General features: G+C 39.2%; 1 protein-coding gene across 19 annotated transcripts in view; it reads left to right on the top strand.

The window, feature by feature from the left end:
- Nucleotides 1-23,853, top strand: part of RAPH1 (Ras association (RalGDS/AF-6) and pleckstrin homology domains 1) — a 101,620-nt gene that overhangs the window by 33,728 nt on the left and 44,039 nt on the right. For 13 of the 19 annotated variants that reach the window (NM_213589.3, NM_001439024.1, NM_001439027.1 and 10 more), the window contains 3 exons: nucleotides 6,221-6,340; nucleotides 10,255-10,360; nucleotides 11,485-11,990. In NM_213589.3, coding sequence (NP_998754.1) covers nucleotides 6,221-6,340; nucleotides 10,255-10,360; nucleotides 11,485-11,990 — 732 coding nt within the window. Of the gene's footprint in view, nucleotides 1-4,178; nucleotides 4,260-6,220; nucleotides 6,341-10,254; nucleotides 10,361-11,484; nucleotides 11,991-23,853 lie in introns of all 19 variants that reach the window. The other 6 variants (NM_001439031.1, NM_001439030.1, XM_011511646.4 and 3 more) reach the window with 1 other exon arrangement.

Below are 23,853 nucleotides of genomic sequence, written 5' to 3'. Positions count from 1 at the left end.
CAGGTCTCAAACTCCTGGGCTCAAGCAGTCTGCCCGCCTTGGCCTCCCAAAGTTGCTAGGATTACTGGCGTGAGCCACCATACCTGACCATGCAAATTCATTTTTAAAACTTCCCAGACGGTTTATTAAATTCCCAGTTTCCATTTGGGCAATTTATAAATAACAGCACTTCATTCACAGCAGAACTAAAGGTCTTGTTTTAAAATAGTGTAGTTGTAGGTAATGAGAGAAAGAAACCAAGCATACCAGGCACTGCCCCATCTGATAAGTAATTAATCCCCTACAGTTATCTTTCCATTTTACATTATGAGTGTCCTACTTCTTTCCTTTCCTTTCCCTTCTCTGCTCTGACTTCCTCTCTCCTCCTTTTGATGAGTCCTCTTCCTCTTTTTGTGCCTTACTAAATTTAACATTTTTTTTCTTATTGTTTCTCTAGTCTGATTTACGTTTCCTTCCTCTTGCTTTTATTTTGCAACAGTTGTAACTTGCACAGTTGGGGTACTCCTTGAACATGGAAGTCTTCACCTCCCTCCTGCCCCTTTCTCTAGTGCATGTTTTTCTTTAGAATTATTTTTAAGGTTAGAACAGCATAGGAGGTGTTTCTAAAACCATTTTTGTGAGAAAGCTACTGAAACATAACTGGAAATAAAGAACTAAAATTTATCTGTAAATGAATAACTGTGAGAGGAAGCATGAGACTATGGTAATGGAAGAGGAATAATTGGGGTGTGTTAATGATGGATCCTCATGGTACCTGATTTCCTTATGGTTTTAAGGAGTACTCATTCTAGTACTTATTTAAGGAGTCCACATTTACCTTTAACCAAATTGTGGTTACACAAAATGGCATTACTTACTGTCTTGCAAGAGCTCCCAGTAATTATTAAACAACATAGTTGTTTATATTTTGTTAAACTTAAGTGAGTATAAGCAATACCCTGGGTAACTTGTTGAAAATATTCCATCCTCTTGACATTAGTATTCAGTAGATCTTGAGTGGGCCATTTTAAAACTGACTTTAAAAGATGCACCCCAGGTAATTTTGATGCAGGTCATCAACAAACCACAATTGGAATAACATTGCCCTACAGGATAAAGTCCAAAGTTTTTGGTATGGCTTAGGATTTTGCCGCTTCCTCCTCTCTAGCCTCATTTTCCATGAGTCTGTACCACCCATCCTATGCTTCAGAAATGCTAAGTCACTTTGAGTTCTAACATGTTGTTCTCACGTCTTTATACCCTTGTATATGTTGGTTCCTCTGCCTAAAACACCCTTCTCCTTTCTCTTACATATTCACTCTTCAGGTCTCCACTGAAGCATCACCACTTTCCTATCTTCTCAAACTGAGTTAAACTACGCTCACTTAACATACCTCTTTTATAGCACTTAACAGAGTGTTTCATCATTGTTGGTTTCCTTTTCTGTTCCCTACTAGATTATATGTTCCTTGAGGACAGAGGTTGTCATGTTCATCTCTGTTCCTCCAGTGTCTGGCATGGTGAATGTTCAATGAAATCAAAGCTTCTCTTGTGTCTTTGGAACATTGAGCACTCTAGACCCATGGAAATGGCTCTGATAGCACTCTGCTGTCCTGTATCTGAGCATGTTCATGTGGTTTTAAGTTTAGAGGGCTGACCCAAGATGGTGCCCAGCCTATAAGAAAATGTCTGGGGGCACCTCATTTGATGTGTATGGTTAGTGGAAATTAAGCTGTATTGGGGAATTGGAGAATAAGGTTCATCAACATCAGCATTTAGAGAATGGAGAGTGGTTTTAGAGTGTGAATTCTTTAAGAAATGTTGTAGGACCTAAGTTTTTTTTGGAAAGTCTCTGAGTAAGTTTCTTAAGTTTTTTTTTTCTTTGAGATGGAGTTCACTCGTCACTCAGGCTGGAGAGCAATGGCACGATCTTGGCTCACTGCAGCCTCTGCCTCCTGGGTTCCAGCGATTCTCCTGCCTCAGCCTCTCAAGTAGCTGGGATTACAGGCGCCCGCCACCATGCCCAGCTAATTTTTGTAGAGACGGGGTTTCACTATCTTGGCCATGCTAGTCTTGAACTCCTGACCTCAGGTGATCCATCCGCCTTGGCCTCCCAAAGTGCTGGGATTACAGGTGTGAGCCACTGCACCCGGCCAGTTTTTTTTTTTTTGTTGCTGTTAAACTAATCCACATAGGGACAAATTGAAAATAGGACAAAATTGGCAAAAGTAACTTAAGTAGTTAACGTTCAATAGATACTTTCAAAATTTCTGTTAATTTTATGTTTCTCTGTCATTGCTGTCATGTTCTCTAGCGATATTTTCCTTAAGTCGGCAGTAGTAGTCTAGATCAAAACAAAACTATAAATGAAAATTTTTAAAGGGATTTTTAAAATAGCCTGTTTGAACAGTAGGAAAAAAACTCAGTTTAAAACACGCTAGCTTTGGATGCAGAGTCTGTACAGTCATGTGTCATTTAATGATGAAGATACTTCCTGAGAAATGCTTCATTAAGCACTTGTTGGGCCAGCATAATAAATTGTACTTACACAAACCCAGGTGGTATAGTCTACTCCACACCTAGGCTGTAGAGTATAGCCTGTTACTCCTAGGCTACAACCTGTACAGCATGTTACTGTACTGAACACTATAGACAATTGTAATACAATGGTATCTAAACCTAGAAAAGGTACAGTAAAAATACTTATGGGACCACCGTATAAGCAGTCTGTCATTGATCTGAACATCATTATGAGCACATGACTGTAGTTCTCTTTGGCTCCATTGTAATTTAAATTATTCCTTTAATTTGAACTATTTTATATTTATCTTACAATGTTATTTTCGTGTTGTTTTATTTTTCCCAGTATGGCATTTTTTTTATGGGCAGTTACACTCTGTTCTCAGAAGTCCAGGATTTAAACCTTTCTTAAAATCATTTTTAAAAATTTGAACTCTTGGTTTAAATGATATCTAATGTGGAAGCCCTATCTGTAAGATGCCTGAAATCGGAGGTGTTGTTTGAAACAGCAGACCTGGAGTGCTGTCCTCTAAGCCCTTCTCCAAGAACGGAGCTTGCCACCCTTTCTGATTAGCTTTCCTCATTTATAAAATGGGAATGATATAATACCTGCCTATCACAATGGTTCGTGGAGGCTTATGACTAATGTTCTCTCCCTGTTCTCTTTGATTATAACTTCCTCTTAGTGTGTGTTACGATGTTCATACATCACAGATTTTCCTGATGATGAGTCACCTAAATATCATGTGACCACATTTTTACTATGGAGAATATAGTCACCATAAACCCAGTGCCTTGCGTATTATTGCCTAAAATACTCATTAAAGTTACTAAAGCTGCTGTTTCTGCCAATAGTGACATAATGGTATCTGTTGGACAACAGTGCTGCAGGCCCAGTTGTTTTAAATGTACTTAAGAGATATAAAATGTAATTAAGAATAAGTATTACTCTCTCAAAACAGAATTCCTCCTAGGATATTTTCTGGGTTATTCCAATGTGTTTAGTTTGAAAGATTAGGAAGTAAAAGCAAGTATATTCCAGATTATATTACTTATTAACCTTCTTTATGAAAACTGGCTATTACTGCTCCTGAGTGTTCTCAAACTAGCACCTATTTGAGTAATTAAGTCATCTGGTCAGATGAGGTTTTTCTTTTCAGTAACATTTTATGTTTTTCCTGGGTAGATCACTTAATGAACTCTGATACCAAGTTTCTGTTGAGATTGACCTATCAATTATATAGTAATGAATAAAATCTTAGAAATAATATTGTTACAAATTGTAAAAACCAAATCTTCTTAAGAATCACATTTATGAATTGGGAAATTGGTAGATCCATTTTTCACTTGCCAGGGTAGAATGACCTGATTTATATATGATTAGAGTGATAAAAGATTAAGAAATGGAAATTATCAGTTTCTATTAGAGATATATTTATTAGAGATATTGGTTAGCTGTGGTTCTTCCCAGTATTAGGAGAATTAGAAAATTATTTCCCTTAAGTAATTAAATGAGATATGATATGATTTTCAGCATCTGAAAACTAAATTCAGTTTAATTTTGTAACATTATTTGACCCTTTCTGCAAAATTTTATATAGTGAAATAAGATTGAAAATTTAACTTGATGATACCATGTCAGATAATTAGATTCCTTACATTTTCTCCTAACCTTTAAGGATCCCAGATATAATTTTGTGGATTGCTGCTTTGAAGATACCAGTCCATGTGTGCTGCTGCAATAAAATTCCTGAGACTGGGTAATATATAAAGAACAGAAATTAATTTTCTTACTATTCTGGAGGCTGGGAAGTACATTATTAAAACACTGGCATTTGGTGTCTGGTGAGGGCTTGTTGCTGGCTTCCTCCACAGGGAGGCACGAGATGTGCTCTTGCATAGCAGAAGAGTGGAAGAACAAAGTACTCCAGTGCTTCATGAAATCTCTTTTATAAAATCCTTAATACCATTAATAAAGAAGGAGCCTTTATGGCCCAATCACTTCTTTAAGGCCCCACCCCTTAATACTATCACATTGGCAACACTTGAGTTTTGGAAGGGACACATTAACACCATGGCATATGTATATCAAGTTAGTAAAGATTAGGCATATCTTTTTTAATGGAATGCCCATACACCATATATAATCTTGGAGGAATTGCTTAAACCAGCTGACAGGCTATATTCCAAATATTGCCTAGATCTACCATAACAAAATTCGTGTTTTAGAAATGTGAGTCAAGAGTATTTAATGTAACATATGGTGATGATGTTCATTGTGTCCCTGGGACAGAAGTTGAAGGAAAAGGGATTGTGGTCAAATAACTTAGGAATATGCTGGTTTTTCTAACAAATAAAATTTTATCAGATTTTAGTCAGTAACTATGATATTAAGAAACATAAAATACCTACCATAACTTTGTAAACCAGGGTTTATAATCTGCTAACTTGAAGAAAAAAAACATTTAATTTGTTTCAAGTTCATACTAACATGCCTGCCTGATTTTAATTTTAATTTTGGAATATGCTGGCTGGTTTAAGCAAAGCTAGTGTTTATTTGAAGATTTTCCAGGGCCTTTAATATTGAAATATTTATATTTATCAGATTAATCAGTCATTGATCTTACATTGTTTTATGTAATTTTTCTTCCCATCTTCTCAAAATAATGTGCAAGTTCCATGTCAGATATCACACTATTTTATTTATTTATTTTTTGAGACGGAGTTTCACTCTTGTTGCCCACACTGGAGTGCAGTGGCATGTTCTCGGCTCTCTGCAACCTCTGTCTCCCAGGGTCAAGTGATTCTCCTGGCTCAGCCTCCCAGGTAGCTGGGATTACAGACATGCACCACCACGCCCTGCCAATTTTGTATTTTTAGTAGAGACGGGGTTTTGCCATGTTGGCCAGGCTGGTTTCAAACCCCTGACCACAGGTTGATCCACCCGCCTCGGCCTCCCAAAGTGCTGGAATTACAGGCGTGAGCCACCACGCCCAGCCACACTATTTTATTAATGGGAAGAAGGAAGATAATTTCTTCTTTCAAGGGACTTATATTTGAAAAGTCACCACATAACAGGATTTGGATCTGGATTTAGAAGTTTTCAATTCTGTTTCCTTTTTGGGTTTTGTTGGAACTGATGAGGAAGTAAGGTAGAGAAAGAAGACAAATGGGATAGAAAGTGAGGGTAGGAGGGTAGAATAGAAAGAAACAAAACTAGATTAAGATTTTTGTTTTGTCAAATTTTCTCTTAAATACTTGTTGGACTAAGGTTTTGCAGGGTACCTATTGGTATCTAAACAGATTTTTACAGAATAAACAGGACAATAATTTGCTCCATTAAAGTCTTCTGAAATGGCTTCTTTGTGGTGTTTGGGTGTCCTAGGATCTAGTAGTGGAGAGAACTGTACTACTGTTATGTCCTCTGCTGATTGAAAGGGGTGCTCTGTTAATTTTTTTAGTAATGCGATTCTGGTCATAATTTGATACTGTTGGCTTTTCTTTTACAGTTTCCTAAAAAATTTGAAACTTTATTCTTTGTTTCTACTCACTTGTGAACACTGTCTCCATTAATGACTTAAGATTTTCTTTTAGAATGTAATTTCTAGTTTTGAAGATTTGACTTCAGAGGCATATAATATATATCAGAGCATATATGGCATAATTTTTCAAGTTAAACCTGTAACTTACTATTCATTCTACACAAATGTCTGTATTTCAGATGGAGCAGCTATCAGATGAAGAAATTGATCATGGTGCTGAAGAAGACAGTGACAAGGAAGATCAGGACCTGGACAAAATGTTTGGAGCCTGGCTTGGAGAACTAGACAAACTCACTCAGGTGAGTAGTGCTTGAAAAACTGGTTGAGGATTTGAAGTCACCATTGTGTTAAAAGTTTAATGTGCAGAAGAGGATATGGATATAAGTTAAATTTTAAAGTATTGCCAGAAAGGAAGAAATGTTCGAAGTATTGACAAGTAAATGAAGTCATTCTAGAACAGAAGATATTAAGAATCTATGGTTATTTTAAGGATGTTAAAAAAAATACTTGTGAGAGAGGCTCTGTTCATCTAGAGGGGTTACTTAATATATGTTTCATAAATATGAGATAATTAGCTAAAAACTTTTAAAGCCTGAAATTCAAAAGTCTAAATTTTAGAAAACCCTGTTACCTTAGTAAATTTGAATACATTTTCAACATAAATAATTTCCTTCCACGTAAATATTTTCTGTTTTTCTTTTTTTTTTTCTTTTTTTTTTTTTTGAGACGGAGTCTTGCTCTTGTCATCCAGGCTGGAGTGCAGTGGCGCAATCTTGGCTCACCGCAAGCTCCGTCTCCGGGGTTCACGCCATTCTCCTGCCTCAGCCTCCCGAGTAGCTGGGACTACAGGCGCCCGCCACCACGCCCGGCTAATTTTTTGTATTTTTTAGTAGAGACGGGGTTTCACTGTGTTAGCCAGGATGGTCTCGATCTCCTGACCTCGTGATCTGCCCACCTCAGCCTCCCAAAGTGCTGGGATTACAGGCGTGAGCCACCATGCCTGGCCCCATGTAAATATTTTCTATGACATGATTGTAGAATACTGACAAAACCTAATTCTGGGCTGCATTTTAAAACAGTGGCAAAATCTTTTCATTTTGCTTTATTCGATCTTGGGTTTTTAAAGAAGGTGACCTTGTCCTCTAAACCAGCACACTTTTTAGAATAAAAGGGTACTGTTATTATTGCCCCAGTAATACATTATATTCACTGTGTGAAGATGGTTATGTTTATTAAATAAATTTAACTTCATGGCAATGAGAACATTAGAACAAAACTTATTTACTCATAAATAATGTCTTTGGAAAGAACATTTGTGTAAAATTGCGTAGGTATGAGATTCCTTAACTAAAGGAAAAGCAAAGTGGGCAAGGTGGAAGCTTAAATTACTAGCAGCTTATTTCTGCAGCAATCTAGAATTCAAAGTGATAAACTCTTCGTGTAATTCTTGCTAGATCATTTTGAAAGGCAGACATCTTTGTGACCATAATCTGTTAATACTGTATTTTGGGGGGATTTTTTTTTTTCTTTTTTCTTTTTTTTTTTTTTTTTTTTTTTTTTTGAGATAGAGTCTCACTCCTGTCGCCCAGGCTGGAGTGCAGTGGTGTGATCTCAGCTCAGTGCAACCACCGCCTCCCGGGTTCAAGCAATTCTCCTGTCTCAGCCTCCCAGGTAGCTGGGATTACAGGCATGCGCCACCATGCCCAGCTGGTTTTGTATTTTTATTAGAGACAGAGTTTCACCATGTTAGCCAAGCTGATCTTGAACTCCTGACCTAGGTAATCCACCTGCCTCGGCCTCTCAAACTGCTGGGATTACAGGTGGGAGCCACCACACCTGGCCAGGGGAGAATGTTTTCAACTCCTACTAGGATTTCATAGGTATCATTCCCTTCATCTCTAATCAGAAGAAGTGACATTTTTTGTCAGAGATGTCTTATGTCTGTAACTGCCAAATTCTTTCTGTTTTAATTCTTAATTTATAAAAAGGGTGATTTAAGCATAGAGATTATCACTAGGCTATGCAGTCCTGCTCTGGGAGAGAGAGGAAGCAAAGAAGAGCAAATAGAAAATGATAATGCATGGAGAAAAGTATGCAAGGGCCAGCTGACATGTGGGGTGTTCTTGACCATGTGGTTTTATTGTCCATGCTTGGGAGGAGGGGCCCAAAAGAGAAAAGGCAGGTAGATATTGGTCCAGCTGCTCTGGGTGAACTAGGAACTACATGATGCTGCCCTGAAAATGGTGTTTCTACTGGTTTGATACCTTGTACTTTCCCCTGTATTTTAAGTTGCCTGACATAAAAGTGTGAAGAGCCACTAATGACGTGACTGTTCTTTTCATTATATAAATCTGTCTTTAGAGAGAAAAAAAGATTAAAACTGTGGCATAGTGTGACTCACTGCTAATATGTTGCTTTGTAACACTTGGGACATTTTCAAGAGATGTTTGACTTTACAAAGTTTGTGGCTAAAACCTCAAGTTTCTTGTTTATTTCATTACTTTAGTTCATTACAGTGTTATCTGTACACCTGTATCACGTACTCAGTGGTATGGTATTTTCAACTTAGAATTAAAACAAGTTTAAGTTTTAGGTAGTTGGTCAATCTTCTAAAATAGTTTGTAAAGTTTTTTATGTATGTGCATTTTTCTGGAAGAGGGTTCATAGCTTTTATAAAATTCTCAGCAACCCCTTTAAAAAGGTTAAGAGTTCGTGTCTGGGCAACAGAGCATGACCTTGTCTCAAAAAAAAAAAAAAAGATAGCATTATAAACACATAGAGTATCCAGCATTCTTTTAAAATTTGAAGCTTGTTCAGTGCTTACTGTAGATATAAATTAAAGTTTTAAAACACTAATCCTTATATTTTGTGAATCTATTAAACAATAACTACTGACCCTTTCTCTGAATTTCTCTGTTGTAAATATCTTTTTTCCTTGCTCTAGAAAGGTTAGAGAGGAAGAGTATCATTTAAACTTACAAGTGTAACTTACAAGTCACCCTACCCAAAGTATACAGTATGATTCAAGATTTGTCACAGGCAGTGTAGCTGGGTTGCAATTTGCCCTCCTTTTGATAGAACTGGAGAAGGACAAGAATATTTCATCATTGTTTGAACTTGTAATCACTTTCCATTAAAATTAGTGAGTCTTGGGTCTTAATAATTTTAAATCCAGAACTGTCCGTTATCTTCAGAGTACTTCATATAGCAAAGATCGAGGCTTTCCTGGACCTAAACCAAATCCCTTTGAGGAAAGAAAGAACAGAACTCTCTGTGCGGTTTCTTTTTTTTTTTTTTTTGAGATTGAGTCTCGCTCTGTCGCCCAGGCTGGAGTGCAGTGGCGTGATCTCGGCTCACTGCAACCTCTGCCTCTCAGGCTTAAGCGATTCTCCTGCCTCAGCCTGCCAAGTAGCTGGGATTACAGGCGCCCGCCACTGTGCCCAGCTAATTTTTGTACTTTTAGTAGAGATGGGGTTTCGCCCCGTTGGCCAAGTTGGTCTCGAACTTCTGACCTCAGTTGATCCGCCTGCCTCTGCCTGCCAAAGTGCTGGGATTACAAAGTGAGCCATCACACCTATTTCTTAGCTTACCATGTCCATATTCACTTACCTCACTTATTTTATAGTGCATGTATATAAAATGAAGTCAGTCACTATACTTAATATATTTGAAAAGATATTTACTCTGAACTATGACAATCTCAAGTGCCTTTAAAAGTAAGCATAGGCCAGATATGGTGGCTCACGCCTGTAATCTCAACACTTAGGGAGATGGAGGTGGGCAGATCACTTGAGGCCAGAAGTTTGCAACCAGCCTGGCCAACATGGTGACACCCTGTCTCTACTAAAAATACAAAAATTAGCCGGGCATGGTGGCACATGCCTATGGTCCCAACTACTCGGGAGGATCCCTTGAACCCGGGAGGCGGAGGTTGCAGTGAGCCAAGCTTGTGGCACGGCACTTAAGCCTGGGTGACAGGACGAGACTTCATCTCCAAAAAAAAAAGTAAGCATATATCTAAAGATTGAAATAAGTATAACCAAAATAATAATGTCAAATACAATTATACTTTTCCTTAAGTCTATTACTTAGGAGAACTTTGGTTTAATTAATTATAGTGTGGCAGTTCACTTAATCATAAAACAAACTTCATCTTTTTTTATATTATTGAAACCTGAATTTAATATGACTATTAAACTTTCTTTTTATAAAGAGTTTGGATTCTGACAAGCCCATGGAACCAGTAAAAAGATCTCCTCTTCGCCAGGAAACAAACATGGCCAACTTTTCTTACCGCTTCTCCATATACAACTTGAATGGTAAGATGTAATTGGAAATAAAATGTAAAATAGTATGCTAAGTCACACAATGTAGGAGCAGTACAACTGCAATTCCCAATATAAAAACTCGATATAAAAGCTACATGCATAACTCGACCAAGTTCTTAAATTTCTTTTTTCTTTTCTTTTTTCTTTTTTTTTTTTTTTTGAGACAGAGTTTCGCTTTTGTCGCCCAGGCTGGAGTTCAGTGGCACAGTCTCGGCTCACTGCAACCTCTGCCTCCCAGGTTCAAGCGATTCTCCTGCCCCAGCCTCCCGAGTAGCTGGGATTACAGGCATGCACAACCACACTTGGCTAATTTTGTATTTTTTAAGTAGAGATAGGGTTTCACCACGTTGGCCAGGCTGGTCTCGAACTCCTGACCTCAGGTGATCCACCTGCCTCAGCCTCCCAAAGTGCTGGGATTACAGTCGTGAGCCACTGCGTCCAGCCCTTAAATTTCTTGATTTGTGTATTTTATTAATATTACTAATTGAAAATATCACAGAGAAAAGCAAACTAGAACATAACTAAAAGATAGTTGGTTTTATTAATAATTGACAAAGTACATACCCAGGTGGAACCCCACAGCAAACTTAATTGCATTGTTTTCTCACCGGATTAAAGTCCAGTGAAGTTACTTCTTAGTAATTTTTAAAGCAGCCACTGTGGCCTTTATCTGTTGTATTCCACCTAGTCAAGTTTATAATATTGACCTGTCAGTCTGTAATTTTTTAGACTTTTGACTTCTCTTTTTATGCCCTCAGCTCTTTCAGTATTGACATCTCTACCAAAGCATTGATCATATTAACAATATATTGAAGCCTGTGGTAAAAAGTTGCACAGAGGAATGTGGTTAAAACCATGGAACAGTATAAGATTTTTGTAGTGTTTTTGTCTTTGAACTCATAATTTATTCTCCTCTGATTATTACAAGCCTTAAAAGAGGAGGACTGTGTACTTCTAAAAATTTATCTTGGAATTTAAAACAAAAACCAGAAATACTTAATTTTATTTGCTTTAGGCCCAACAAAATATATTCTTTTGCTTCATCACCTGCATTTATTAACTGATTTATAATAGAATGTATAAATTCTGGAAACATTATGTGTTGTTCATTGCAGAAGCTCTGAATCAGGGAGAGACTGTGGATCTGGATGCCTTGATGGCTGATCTTTGCTCTATAGAGCAGGAGCTCAGCAGCATTGGTTCAGGAAACAGTAAGCGTCAAATCACAGAAACGAAAGCTACTCAGAAATTGCCTGTTAGCCGACATACATTGAAACATGGCACCTTGAAAGGATTATCTTCTTCATCTAATAGGATAGCTAAACCTTCCCATGCCAGCTACTCCTTGGACGACGTCACTGCACAGTTAGAACAGGCCTCTTTGAGTATGGATGAGGCTGCTCAGCAATCTGTACTAGAAGATACTAAACCCTTAGTAACTAATCAGCACAGAAGAACCGCGTCAGCAGGCACAGTGAGTGATGCTGAAGTACACTCTATTAGTAATTCCTCCCATTCCAGCATCACTTCCGCAGCCTCCAGCATGGACTCTTTGGATATTGATAAAGTAACACGCCCTCAAGAGCTGGATTTGACACATCAAGGGCAGCCAATTACTGAGGTAAATAAATGGAACTTTTTCCCTGGTATTTTGTTATTAAAATAAAGGAGAAATTATATTAAAATAATTTTAATTAACTTCTTAAATTCTTCTACATTTATAATTTGTCAAAGATACTTCTGAGATAGGTTTCAAGAGTACAGAAGGAATATATTATCAGATATGGTAGTGGCACAAAGATGATTTAGAAGAAATTTAGTTTCTTTTTTATTCTCGTGACTATAGTATTTGGAAGTTCTTGAATGGCATTTTTTATTGTAATATGAGTCATTTCACGTGATTTGAAAAATTAAAATGATTCACAAAACCATTTAGTTATTTAATGTATGTTGATTTAAAGTAAAACTTAAGAAAAACACTCATATCACCATTGTGGTCCTCCAAGATTCTAGTTTACAGGGTTAACTCCATTTCATTATCTTTTTTTTTTTCTCCTTTTTTTTTCTTTGAGATGGAGTTTGTACTCTTGTACAACTCATGCCCAGGCTGGAGTGCAGTGGCGTGATCTCAGCTCGCTGCAACCTCCACCTCCCAGGTTCAAGTGATTCTCCTGCCTCAGACTCCCAAGTGTAGCTGGGATTACAGGCGCTCACCACCATGCCCAGCTAATTTTCATATTTTTAGTAGAGATGGGATTTCACCATGTTGGCCAGGCTGGTCTCGAACTCCTGACCTCAGGTGATCCAACCGCCTTGGCCTCCCAAAGTACTGGGATTACAGGCGTGAGCCACTGTGCCCGGCCCTCCATTTCATTATTGAAGAGTCAGTATGGTATATTGGAAAGGGCCACCAGGTATGGAATCAGGAAACTTGATTCTGAGTTTTCCTTGCCACTCACTACCCATGGGACCTTAAGTGAGTTATTCTCTTAAACATCAATTTCTCACAAGTAAAATGGAGTTCATAGTACTATATCTGCCTTCCTGATAGGGTGGTTCAGAGAACAAAAGTTGTTCATAAACAGGTTTTTTTTTTTTTTTTTTTTTTTTTTTTTTAATAGACGGAGTCTCATTCTGTCGCCCAGGCTGGAGTGCAGTGGCATGATCTTGGCTCACTGCAACCTTGCCTCCCGGGTTAAGTGATTCTCCTGCCTCAGCCTCCTGAGTAGCTGGGATTACAGGCGTGTGCCACCATGCCTGGCTAATTTTTGTATTTTTGGTAGAGACGGGGTTTCACCATGCTGGCCAGGCTGGTCTCAAACTCCTGACCTTGTGATCCGCCCACTTCCCAAAGTGCTGGGGTTACAGGTGTGAGCCACTGCGCCCAGCCAGAGTTCGTAATACTATATCTGCCTTCCTGATAGGGTGGTTCAGAGAACCGTAAGTTATTCATGAACAGATTTTTAAAAGATGGAATTTTTTTCAGCATGTGACTGGATAAGATAGGGAATAGATTTGCGGTAACAAGTTCAACAAAAGCTGAGTTTGGTGAAAGAGAATTCTTTATTGAGTTGTTTTCATCAAAGAGATGGTAATTCTGTCATAGGGTAGCAGCAAGAAAGAAGAAAAATGGGGCAAAGTTAAGTCAACCTTTCCAATAAGCTTGTGTTGACAATATTCTAATATGGGATAAAAGAATCTATTTATGAATAATCAGTACTAAAGTAAAATCTTGAATTTTAACTATTACTTGACATCATTGATTTTTTTTTCGTAACTTATTTAATTCTTTGGATTAATTTCCATCAGTAGGTAACTCTTGGTACCCACCCATGTGCGTAGCTTTGTTTTTGGTACTGTGGAGCACAAAAGGAGTATGAATCATGGTGGTTTGGAGATAAACTTGAGTTATTTCAAAGAAAGCGAATCTTATCAATCTGAAGAATAAACTTTCATTTATTTAAAATGAAACTTATCTAAGTGGTATATATTCTATAGAGAACTTGAAAACTGATTTCTAGGCCGGACGTGGTGGCTCACACCTGTAATCCCAACACTTTGGGAGGCCGAGGCGGGCGGATCACCTGAGGTCAGGAGTTTGAGACCACCCTGGCCAACATGGTGAAACCCTGTCTCTACTAAAAATACAAAAAAAAATTAGTTGGATGTGGTGGCGCATGCCTGTAATCCCAGCTGCTCGGGAGGGTGAGGTAGGAGAATCGCTTGAACCAGGGAGTCGGAGGTTGCAGTGAGCCAAGATCGTGCCACTGCACTCCAGCCTGGCAACAGCAAGACTCCGTCTACAAAAAAAAAAGGAAAAAAAAAACTGATTTCTATTTTGTGATACCTGGGAATTATATTTAGCCACCAGCTACTTAATATGTATCATTTCATGTCCTTTAGATTTACCTGCTAGGATATGAGCAATATTTTATTAGGGATGTGCTTTCTTGGCCATTCTTTGTTTTGTATGTTGATATTCCTTCCAATCAGTTTACAGTATTTTGAGTTGGATTAAGATGCGTGAGGGACAAGTTATAAACTAATCATTAAGGATCTTCTAATACCGTATGCATGTCTTTCTGTCTGTAAAATGTGCTCATTATAAAAGTTCATACAGTATAGGGGCAAATTGAAGTAAAACGTGAAAAGTTCCTCTCTCCCAGCAAGCGCACTTCAAATGGTATCTAGTGGTATCCATGGGTATCACTGTGAATACTGCAAAGATACCAGTGCTCAATGGTATAATGTTTAATATAAGAGTTTAATGTAAGGTTTGGTGAGTAAACCAGGACTATAGCAGGGAAAGGAGTTAAAAAGCCTTATCTAGCTAGCCTGTTCTTTTGCCTCACCTAGGAGTATAGAAAGGTGGTTTAACAAACCCGGAACTTGCTTCCATTTGCTTTTTTCCTAGGTCTAGTCTGTTCTGATTCAAATAAAGTAAACTGAGGCAAGCTTAATATATCCTGAACTCATGTATCAAATTGTCTTTAAGTGCAAATACAGTTTTAAAAATATTTTAGTTTTTCATGCATGGCGTTAAATAGTTCTATGAGATATGTTACGGAAAACTATCCTCTACTCACATACACATCATATTCTGCTTCCAGAGGTAAGCAATTTTTGCTCATTTAGCTGATTCTTAGGGACTTTACCTCTTTATCATTAAGTCTACATACACATTGCCATTTCTTGATTTTCTTTTTAGTGGTATGTATTACCTATTGACTTCTCACTCTACTCCAGAAGATGGAGGGTATAGCTGTCTATATACAGCTTCTTCTCACTTCTCCCTTCCTGTTTTTCCATTCTCCAAATATATTTTGATTGAGCTCATATTCAGTGTTTATATTAAAATGACTATATACTTGAAATTTACTGCTAACCTCCATATACTCTTGTGACTACATCCCCTTTCTGGAATATCATTTTACTTTTACTGGAATGAATATATGTTTAAAAATATTTAATTTTCTATATGGTGATCACTGTTTCAACTTCAGACTTTCTCCCAGTTGATTAAATCTCTCTGGTTCAAGCCAAATTAGCGTTCCATTAATTGCATCTTCTTAAAATTCTATTTATTTCTTTTCTTTCTTTTTTTTTTTTTTGTAGTCTTCAGGATTATCCTTAGGTTTTTTTTCCTAGGCTGGTGAGCTTCTCTGGAGAAGATTCTTCCAGTCTTCTATGCTGGCTGCCAGTGTTTTAGTAGCCCATTTGGGAAAGAAGGGTTGGAACATGAGGATGGTCCCCATTGTTCCAGTCTATGAACTTTCATCAAATCCTTCTAGGTCAGGGTTTCTCAGCTATCAGCACTATTGACATTTGGGCTAGATAGTTTTGTGAGTGGCTGTCCCATGCACTGTAGGATGTTTAGCAGCATCCCTGGCCTGTACACACTAGATGTCAGTAGTACACATTTACCTTCTTCAGTTGTGACAACTAAAAACGTCCGTAGACATTGTTACATGTTGCTTGTAGGACAAAATCCACCCCCAATTGAGAATCACCACTGCTCTAGGTAGAGAGGGTTAACAGTAGGCCTGAGTCCTTTTCTTCGTGGAAAATGACCTTGGGTTTTCCTTCTCCTGGCATTCTTTTCCTGGACACATACTGGATTAAGAATTAAATATAGAATATCTCCAGGTAATATTGTTTATTGTGAAACTGACCCCTGTTGGTGAGTGTATATGGACCAGGAAGACTGTCCATGAATGAATAAATTAGCCTATGAAAAGACATAGACCTTGACTTCGTGGTGTGCAGTGTAACTCTTTTTTTTTTTTTTTTTTTTGAGACAGAGTCTCACTCTGTTGTCCAGGCTGTAATGCAGTGGCGCAATCTCAGCTCACTGCAACCTCCGCCTCCCAGGTTCACATGGTTCTCATGCCTCAGCCTCCCGAGTAGCAGGGATTACAAGCACATGCCACCACGCCTGGCTAATTTTTGTATTTCTTTTTTTTAGTGGAGACAGGGTTTCGCCATGTTGGCCAGGCTGGTCTCGAACTCCTGACCTCAAGTGATCCACCTGCCTCGGCCTCCCAAAGTGCTGGGATTACACTGTGGGAGCCACTGCACCTGGCCAGCAGTGTAACTCTTATAAATGAGCATGAACGTGTTCTTTAAGGGGCCCTGGAACTTAACCTCATTGGCTGTTAAAAGGTACTGCTGGTTCCCATGGAGCATGAAGTTTCCCTAAGCCAGGGTGTTTTCTGCACTTACCATGTGGTCTCTTTCCCTTACAATGAGCTATTTATGGGCCCAAAAAGGGCCTGTGGTGAGCTGTATGGACTCCCTCAGAAGATGGCATGTCTCTTTTTATTTATTCAGAACTGAGTGAATCTGGCTTCAAGCTATGGTCTGTTGGGTCTTGTCAGCGAATGTTAATCTGTACCTGAGACCACTGCTGGTGGGTGAGTGAGTAAAAGAGGGAATCTGAGAATTAGCTGCTTTCTTAAATGTGTTTTCAACCATTCTTCCTGCTTTTAGTCGCACCATCACCTGTCTACTCTTGCTTCTGAGGACTTCTGAGGTTACACGATATAAATTGAGTGCTCCTCTGCTTTTCTCCAGTGCTGGCCCAGCATTCAGCTTCTCTTGGATTTGCTAAATTGGTTACCACTCAGCCATATGCTTTTTTTCCACATCTTCCCACCCCCATTTTAATCCCTGTAAAACAATGCTTCACAACTTGGGCTACTTTGTCCTGCTGGGTATATGCAACATTTTTGGTTGTCCATCAAGGGCGTGTGCTACTACTGGCATCTAGTGGGTAGAGGCCAGAGGTGCTGCTAAACATCCTACAGTGCACAGGACAGCCCACATGAAGGATAATTATCTGGCCCAAAATAGAGCCAAGGTTGAGAAACCACATTTTAAATCGTGTGGCACCTGTTAGTCACGATCAGCAAGGTGGCAGTTATAGTACGTTGTATGAAGTCCTTCTGTTGAAAGTTTCTAATAAAGATCAAGAAAGTACCAGCATCAAATCTTCTTAGATTTAAGGAAATATAGGTATCTTTGGCCAGTCCCTCTCTCCTGAACTCCAGGTGCATATATTCCATCTCTAATCAATATCTCTATTTGGATGTCTAATTGTGTATTATATTTCTCCAGAGAGATAGAACCAATAGGATATGAGTGGGGATTTATTATGGAAATTAGCCCACACCATTATGAAGGCTGAGAAGTCATGTGACAGGCTGTCTGCAAGCTGGAGACCCTAGGATGGTGGTAGTGTGACTTAGTCCAAGTCAAAAAGCCTCGGAACCAGGAAAGCCCATGGTATAATTATCAGTCCTAGGCTGAAGGCCTGGGTACCCAAGGGAGGCTGCTGGTATAAGGCCTGCAGTACAAAGACTGGAGAGCCTGGAGTTCTGATATCCAAGAGTAGGAGCAGAGTGTCCCACCTCTAGGAAGGATAGGGAGGAAATCACCTTTTCTCTGCCTTTTTTGTTCTATCTGGGGCCCTCAGTCAATTGGATAGTGCCTACCCACAATGAGGATGGATCTTCCCCACTCAGTCCTGGTTCACACACCATCTCCTCTGGAAACACTCTCACAGACATACCCAGATGCTTTACCAGTTCTCTAGGTATTCCTTAATCCAATGAAGTTGATACCTAAAATTAACCATCATAAATAGATTGCTCAAATTTAACTGGTCTAAACCTAAAGTCCTGCTCTTTCTCTTCAAACTTATTTCTCCCACTGTCTTCTCTATCTCAAATAATGGATATTCCATCCGTCTAGTTCATCAAGCAAACTCCTTGGAGTCTTTATCTACTTATTTTCTTTCTACCTCCCTTTCAATCCAGCAGCAAATTCTGTTGGCCTTATCTTCAGAATATGTCTAGAATGTGATCACTTCTCACCGCCTTCACTGCCACCAAGCCAATATCATCTTGATTTAGATTTTTGAATAGGCTTCCTTCTGGTCTTTCTGCATTCACCTTTCTCCCTTAACAGTCTATCATCCACACTGCAGCCAGAGTGATCCTTTTGAAAGATAAGTCAGATCATCTCTTTTCAAACCTAAAGGCTTTGCATCTCATGGTATAGCCCAAACCCCTATAATGCCTATAAAGCCTTGCCTGATCTGCTTTCCCATTACCACCTATTTTTCTTCCTTCTGTCCCTTACCCCACTAGCCATACTGTCCCATACTTGTTCTCAGCCAGTAGCCAGAGCCTGCCTCTTAGCCTTTGCACTTATTCAACCCTGCCCAGACGCCTTTCCCCAGTCTTCTGTGTAACATTCTCCTAGCTACCTTCTGGAATTTGCTCAAATGTCACTTTCTTATTGAGGCGTTCTTTGATTATGCTATTTAAAAATGGAGCTCCCCTTACTCTGCCATATTATTACCTTTTTTTTGTTTTGTTTTGTTTTGTTTTGTTTTTTTTGAGACAGATTCTCGTTCTGTCACCCAGGCTGGAGTGCAGTGGTGCCATCTTGGCTCACTGTAACCTCTGCTCCCTGGGTTCAGTGGATCCTCCTGCCTCAGTTTCCTGAGTAGCTGGGTCCTCAGGCATACAATATCATGCCCATTTAATTTGGAATTTGGAATTTTATACATGACAGTGTATTTTTAAAATGAAAATACTTTGTAAAGCTATTAGTTTATAGCAAATTCAAAGGATTTTTTTCATCATAATATACACAATCATCAAGTTTTCTTAAGATTCAGCAAAACCTTTTGCTAAATTTAAAGGAATAGGTAAGGTTGGCACAGTGACTCACGCCTGTAATCCCGGCACTTTGGGAGGCCAAGGCAGGCGGATCACCTGAGGTCATGAGTATCAGACCATCCTGGCTAACATGGTGAAACCCCATCTCTACTAAAAATACATAAATTAGCCAGGCATGGTGGCGGGCACCTGTAATCCCAGCTACTTGGGAGGCTGAGGCAGGAGAATCACTTGAACCTGGGCGGCAGAGGTTGCAGTGAGCTGAGATGATGCCACTGTACTCCAGCCTGGGCGACAGCAAGACTCCGTTTCAAAAAGTAAAATAAAATAAAATAAAGGAATAGGTATCAGATGAAAAAAGAGGCTGAAGATTTAGTGAAATCCAGGGGAAAAGCCTAATTCACACAAACATATTTCAAATAAACCCCCCCAATAATCACTGGCACATATGCCTTGACTCTTATTGTTGGTGTTTCTTGGAAATCTGTGTGTGTGTGTGTTTTTTTTTTCTGCAGAAGTAAAAAGCATCTTTAGGTTTAGGTCTGTTTTTGTTTTGGGTTTGTGGAGGGCTGGTGAAGGACCTTTTTTTTAGACAATAATAGAAATATATTCATGTGGCCTGGTGCAGTGGCTCACGCCCGTAATCCTAATACTTTGGGAGGCCGAGGTGGGCGGATCGTTTGAAGTCAGAAGTTCGAGACCAGCCTGGCCAACATGGTGAAACCCCGTCTCTACTAAAAATACAAAAAAAAAAAAAAATTATCCTGGCGTGGTGGCAGACACCTGCAATTCCAGCTACTCGGGAGGCTGAGGCAGGAGAATCACTTGAATCTAGGAGGTGGAGGTTGCAGTGAGCCAAGATCATGCCACTGTACTCCATCCTGGGTGACAGAGCGAGCCTCCATCTCAAAAAAAAAATGTGTATATATATATATATATATATATATATTCATCTATTTAAAATGAATAGGGGCTATAAAACAAAAAGAAATAGTTTTAAAAACATTTACAGATTTACCGGCTATATAATATCCAGTAGAAGGAGAGTAGAATAAAGAGAAAAGGGGGCAAAATAGAAAAATTGAGTGCTTGTTCTGTTAGCCATTGTGCTTTATGTCTTAACACACATTGTGCAGAGCCCAACACCTTGTGGAGGGCATGGTTATCCCTCTTTTACAATGGAAGGAACGGAGGTAGAGAGTGACTAAATAACTTGCCCAAGGGTTTGAACCCAAACATACTGGTTGTAGAGCTCATACCACCATATCATGCTACTTCATCACAGAACTGAAGGAAAATCAAGACAAGTAGACTGGCCAGTGCTCTCAGAGCCGGACCTAGATACAGAACTAACTACATGGGCAGGAGAGAAAAAGGCAAAGAGATGTATGTAATAGCATCCCCATCTTGTGGTGTTTTTGTATTTTTTAAAAATATTTTAAGGAAAATTAAGGTAAACTCTAGCTCTAAACTAAATAAAGCTTAAATAAAATTAAGATGAGGGCTGGCAGGTTCCCACTCTTCGTAGTAATATTAATCGTTCATAATTTTTATACCAACCTTTGAAGATCAATGCTGTGAGTACCCCGATTTTACATGTGAGGAAACAGATTAAATGATAGGCCCAGAATCACCTTGCCAATAAATGGCCACGCTGGGGCTTGAACCCAGGCACTCTAGCACCAGGGTCTCCATTCTTAACCATCATGCTATACTTATTTTCAACATACTATTTGTGGAAAATGCATACGTGTGTCAGTAAAGATGATGGAAATCTATTTTATTGAAACACTAATGAGTGGTCATAAGCCTCCACTTCTTTCCAGTTGTAATCTAAAGTGTTAGCTATCACAAGGAAGTGTTTTATTTGTAACCACTACTTTGGTACAAGGCCATTTCTTTATAATGGTTTGGCTCCTGTGTTCAGATAAATGGTTTTTACTTTTTTTATTTTTTATTATTTATTTTTTGAGACAGGGTCTTGCTCTTTTGCCTAGGCTGGAGTGCAGTGGTGCAATCTCAGCTCACTGCAGCCTCCACCTCCTGGGTTCACGCAATTCTCGTGTCTCAGCCTCCCTAGTAGCTGTGACTATAGGCGCGCACCACCACACCCGGCCTGTCTTTATAATTTTTTAGAGACGGCGTTTTGCCCTGTTGGCCAGGCTGGTCTCGAGCTCCTGACCTCAAGTGATTCACCCGCCTGGGCCTCCCAAAGTGCTGGGATTACAGGCATGAGCCACTGCTCCTAGCCAGATCAATGCTTTTTAATATGTGCACTCCCACCCCAACCCCAAGGACTCTGGCTTGTAAATGGCACTTTGTTTTAACATGTTACAGATTCAGTTCAAGAAAGTAGTGATTCATAACTTACTTTGCAGAGATTTGTGGTGAGTTTTTATAAGATTGATAGAAAGTTTTTATCAAACACAAATGGCGCAACACTTTGTAATACAAATGAAAGTTTTCAAAACTGAGAAAATGTACAGCAAAATTTATACAGAGAATTGACCTTTAAATTCATTTTTTTTCCCCATGGGAGACTCACTGGACATTTTTGTTACGTATTTTGAGCACAGCTTTTAGATTTATGAACGTAGTGATAAAGAGTACGTAAATATTAGACTTGGAGCAGATAATATTTTTTGGTAAGAAAATAAGTACTTTATGGAAATAGACCTCATATTAAAAAGCTATATTATTCTATAATCCCTTTTTATTCATGTTAATGTAACCTAAATTTTTAATCTTTGTTTATTTACTATTTTGTATTGTTTTTGTCACTTCACATATATCCTTTTCTGGTAAGGGTACACTGAATAATAGCTATAGTATTCCGTCATACTGTTTTATATGTAACATAGGCAATCATCTCTTGTTGAATACTTCAGATTTAATTTTTTTTTTTTTTTTTTGAGTCAGTCTTGCTCTGTTGCTCAGGCTGGAATACAGTGGCGCCATCTCGGCTCACTGAAACCTCTGGCCTCAGGGTTCAAGCAATTCTTCTGCCTCAGCTTCCGGAGTAGCTGGGTGGGACTACAGGCACGAGTCACCACCCCTGGCTATTTTTTGTATTTTCAGTAGAAATGGAGTTTCACTATGTTGGCCAGGCTGTTCTTGAACTCCTGACCTCAAGTGATGCGCCCGCCTCAGCCTCCCAAAGGGCTGGGATTACAGGCGTGAGCCACCGTGCCCAGCCCAGATTTAGGCTTTTAGAAAGTTTAGCCAGTAAGCATTTGGAAATATAATGGACACTTGTGCAAGATTGAGTCCAGAAAGAATAGATTTTTTAAAGAAAAATTATTTTGAAATAATATACTTACAAAACCTTTAAAGAATAGTACAAAGAACTCATGAAATTCATTTGCCAGATTCAGTAATTTTTAACATTTTACCACATTATTTTTCTGTGTCTATATTTATTTTTCCTGAATCATTTGAGAGTTGGTTACGTTTATCATTCCCGTATATTCGTTAATACTTCAGTATCTGTTTCCTAAGAACAGGGTTATTGGCAGTATAGATTTGATAGGCCTCCTGTTGATGTAGTAATTGAAACAGAATATGCTTAATGAGAAAATACACAGGGAAAAACAAAAACAATCTTGGTCTGGCCAAGCATGTGGCATGCAGGCCAAGCAGAAAGTTATTCATATATTCTGTAAATATTTGAGCGCCTAGGGCACTGTGGTGGGGTGTAAGGGATAAAACTGGAATATAATACACAATGTTGGCTGGGCGCAGTGGCTCACGCCTGTAATCCCAGAACTTTTGGAGGTGGAGGTGGGCAGATCACTTGAGGTCAGGAGTTCAAGGCCAGCCTCACCATCATGGTGACATCCCATCCCCACTAAAAGTACAAAACTAGCCAGGTGCGGTGGCGGGTGCCTGTAATCCCAGCTACTCAGGAGGCTGAGGCAGGAAAATTGCTTGAACCTGGAAGGCAGAGGTTGCAGTGAGCTGAGATCGTGCCACTGCAGTCCAGCCCGAGCGACAGAGTGAGACTCCATCTCAAAAAAGAAAAACAAAAAAAAACAAAAAATGATGTCCTTATGAAGTGATAATTTATTGTATGGAGGGATGGAGGGGAGGATATAGACAACCAAACAAGTGATTTTGGTACAGTGTGGTAGGAACTATGATGGAAAAGAGAGAAAACCTTTTTGGTTAAAAAGTTCTTGATGACAAGCCGGGCTCAGTGGCTCGTGCCTGTAATCCCAGCACTTTGGGAGGCCAAGGAGGGCGGATCACGAGGTCAGGAGATTGAGACCATCCTAGCTAACACTGTGAAACCCCGTCTCTACTAAAAATACAGAAAAATTAGCCGGGCTTGGTGGCAGGCGCCTGTAGTCCCAGCTACTCGGGAGGATGAGGCAGGAGAATGGCGTGAACCCAGGAGGTGGAGCTTGCAATGAGCTGAGATCGTGCCACTTGCACTCCAGCCTGGGCGACTGAGCAAGACTCCGTCTCAAAAAAAAAAAAAACAAAAAGTTATTGATGACTTTGAGAATGAATTACAGAATACATTATAACTCAAAGGATGAAGGCTTTAGGGAAGAAATTGCAAGAAATTAAGGGAAAAATGAGTGGCTGGGAAGTGGAGGAGGCACCTTCTAGCATGAATTAAGGGAATTTGGCAGTGGAGAGGAGAAACAGTTTAACAAGAGGAGGGTACCCAGAAGAACTGAACATTTTCCTCTTCTCCTCACCCCCAATGTACTGATTAGTTGAGTATCAGAGACTAAAGATACTTTCTCTTTAGGAGGGGGAAATGAATGGGATCTAGAACATGCTTAGCTT

The sequence above is a fragment of the Homo sapiens genome, chromosome 2, assembly GCF_000001405.40.
Source record: "Homo sapiens chromosome 2, GRCh38.p14 Primary Assembly".
Classification (NCBI taxonomy): Eukaryota; Metazoa; Chordata; class Mammalia; order Primates; family Hominidae; genus Homo; species Homo sapiens.
Note: the sequence above shows the minus strand (reverse complement) of the source record. Positions and strands in the feature narration are given on the sequence as shown.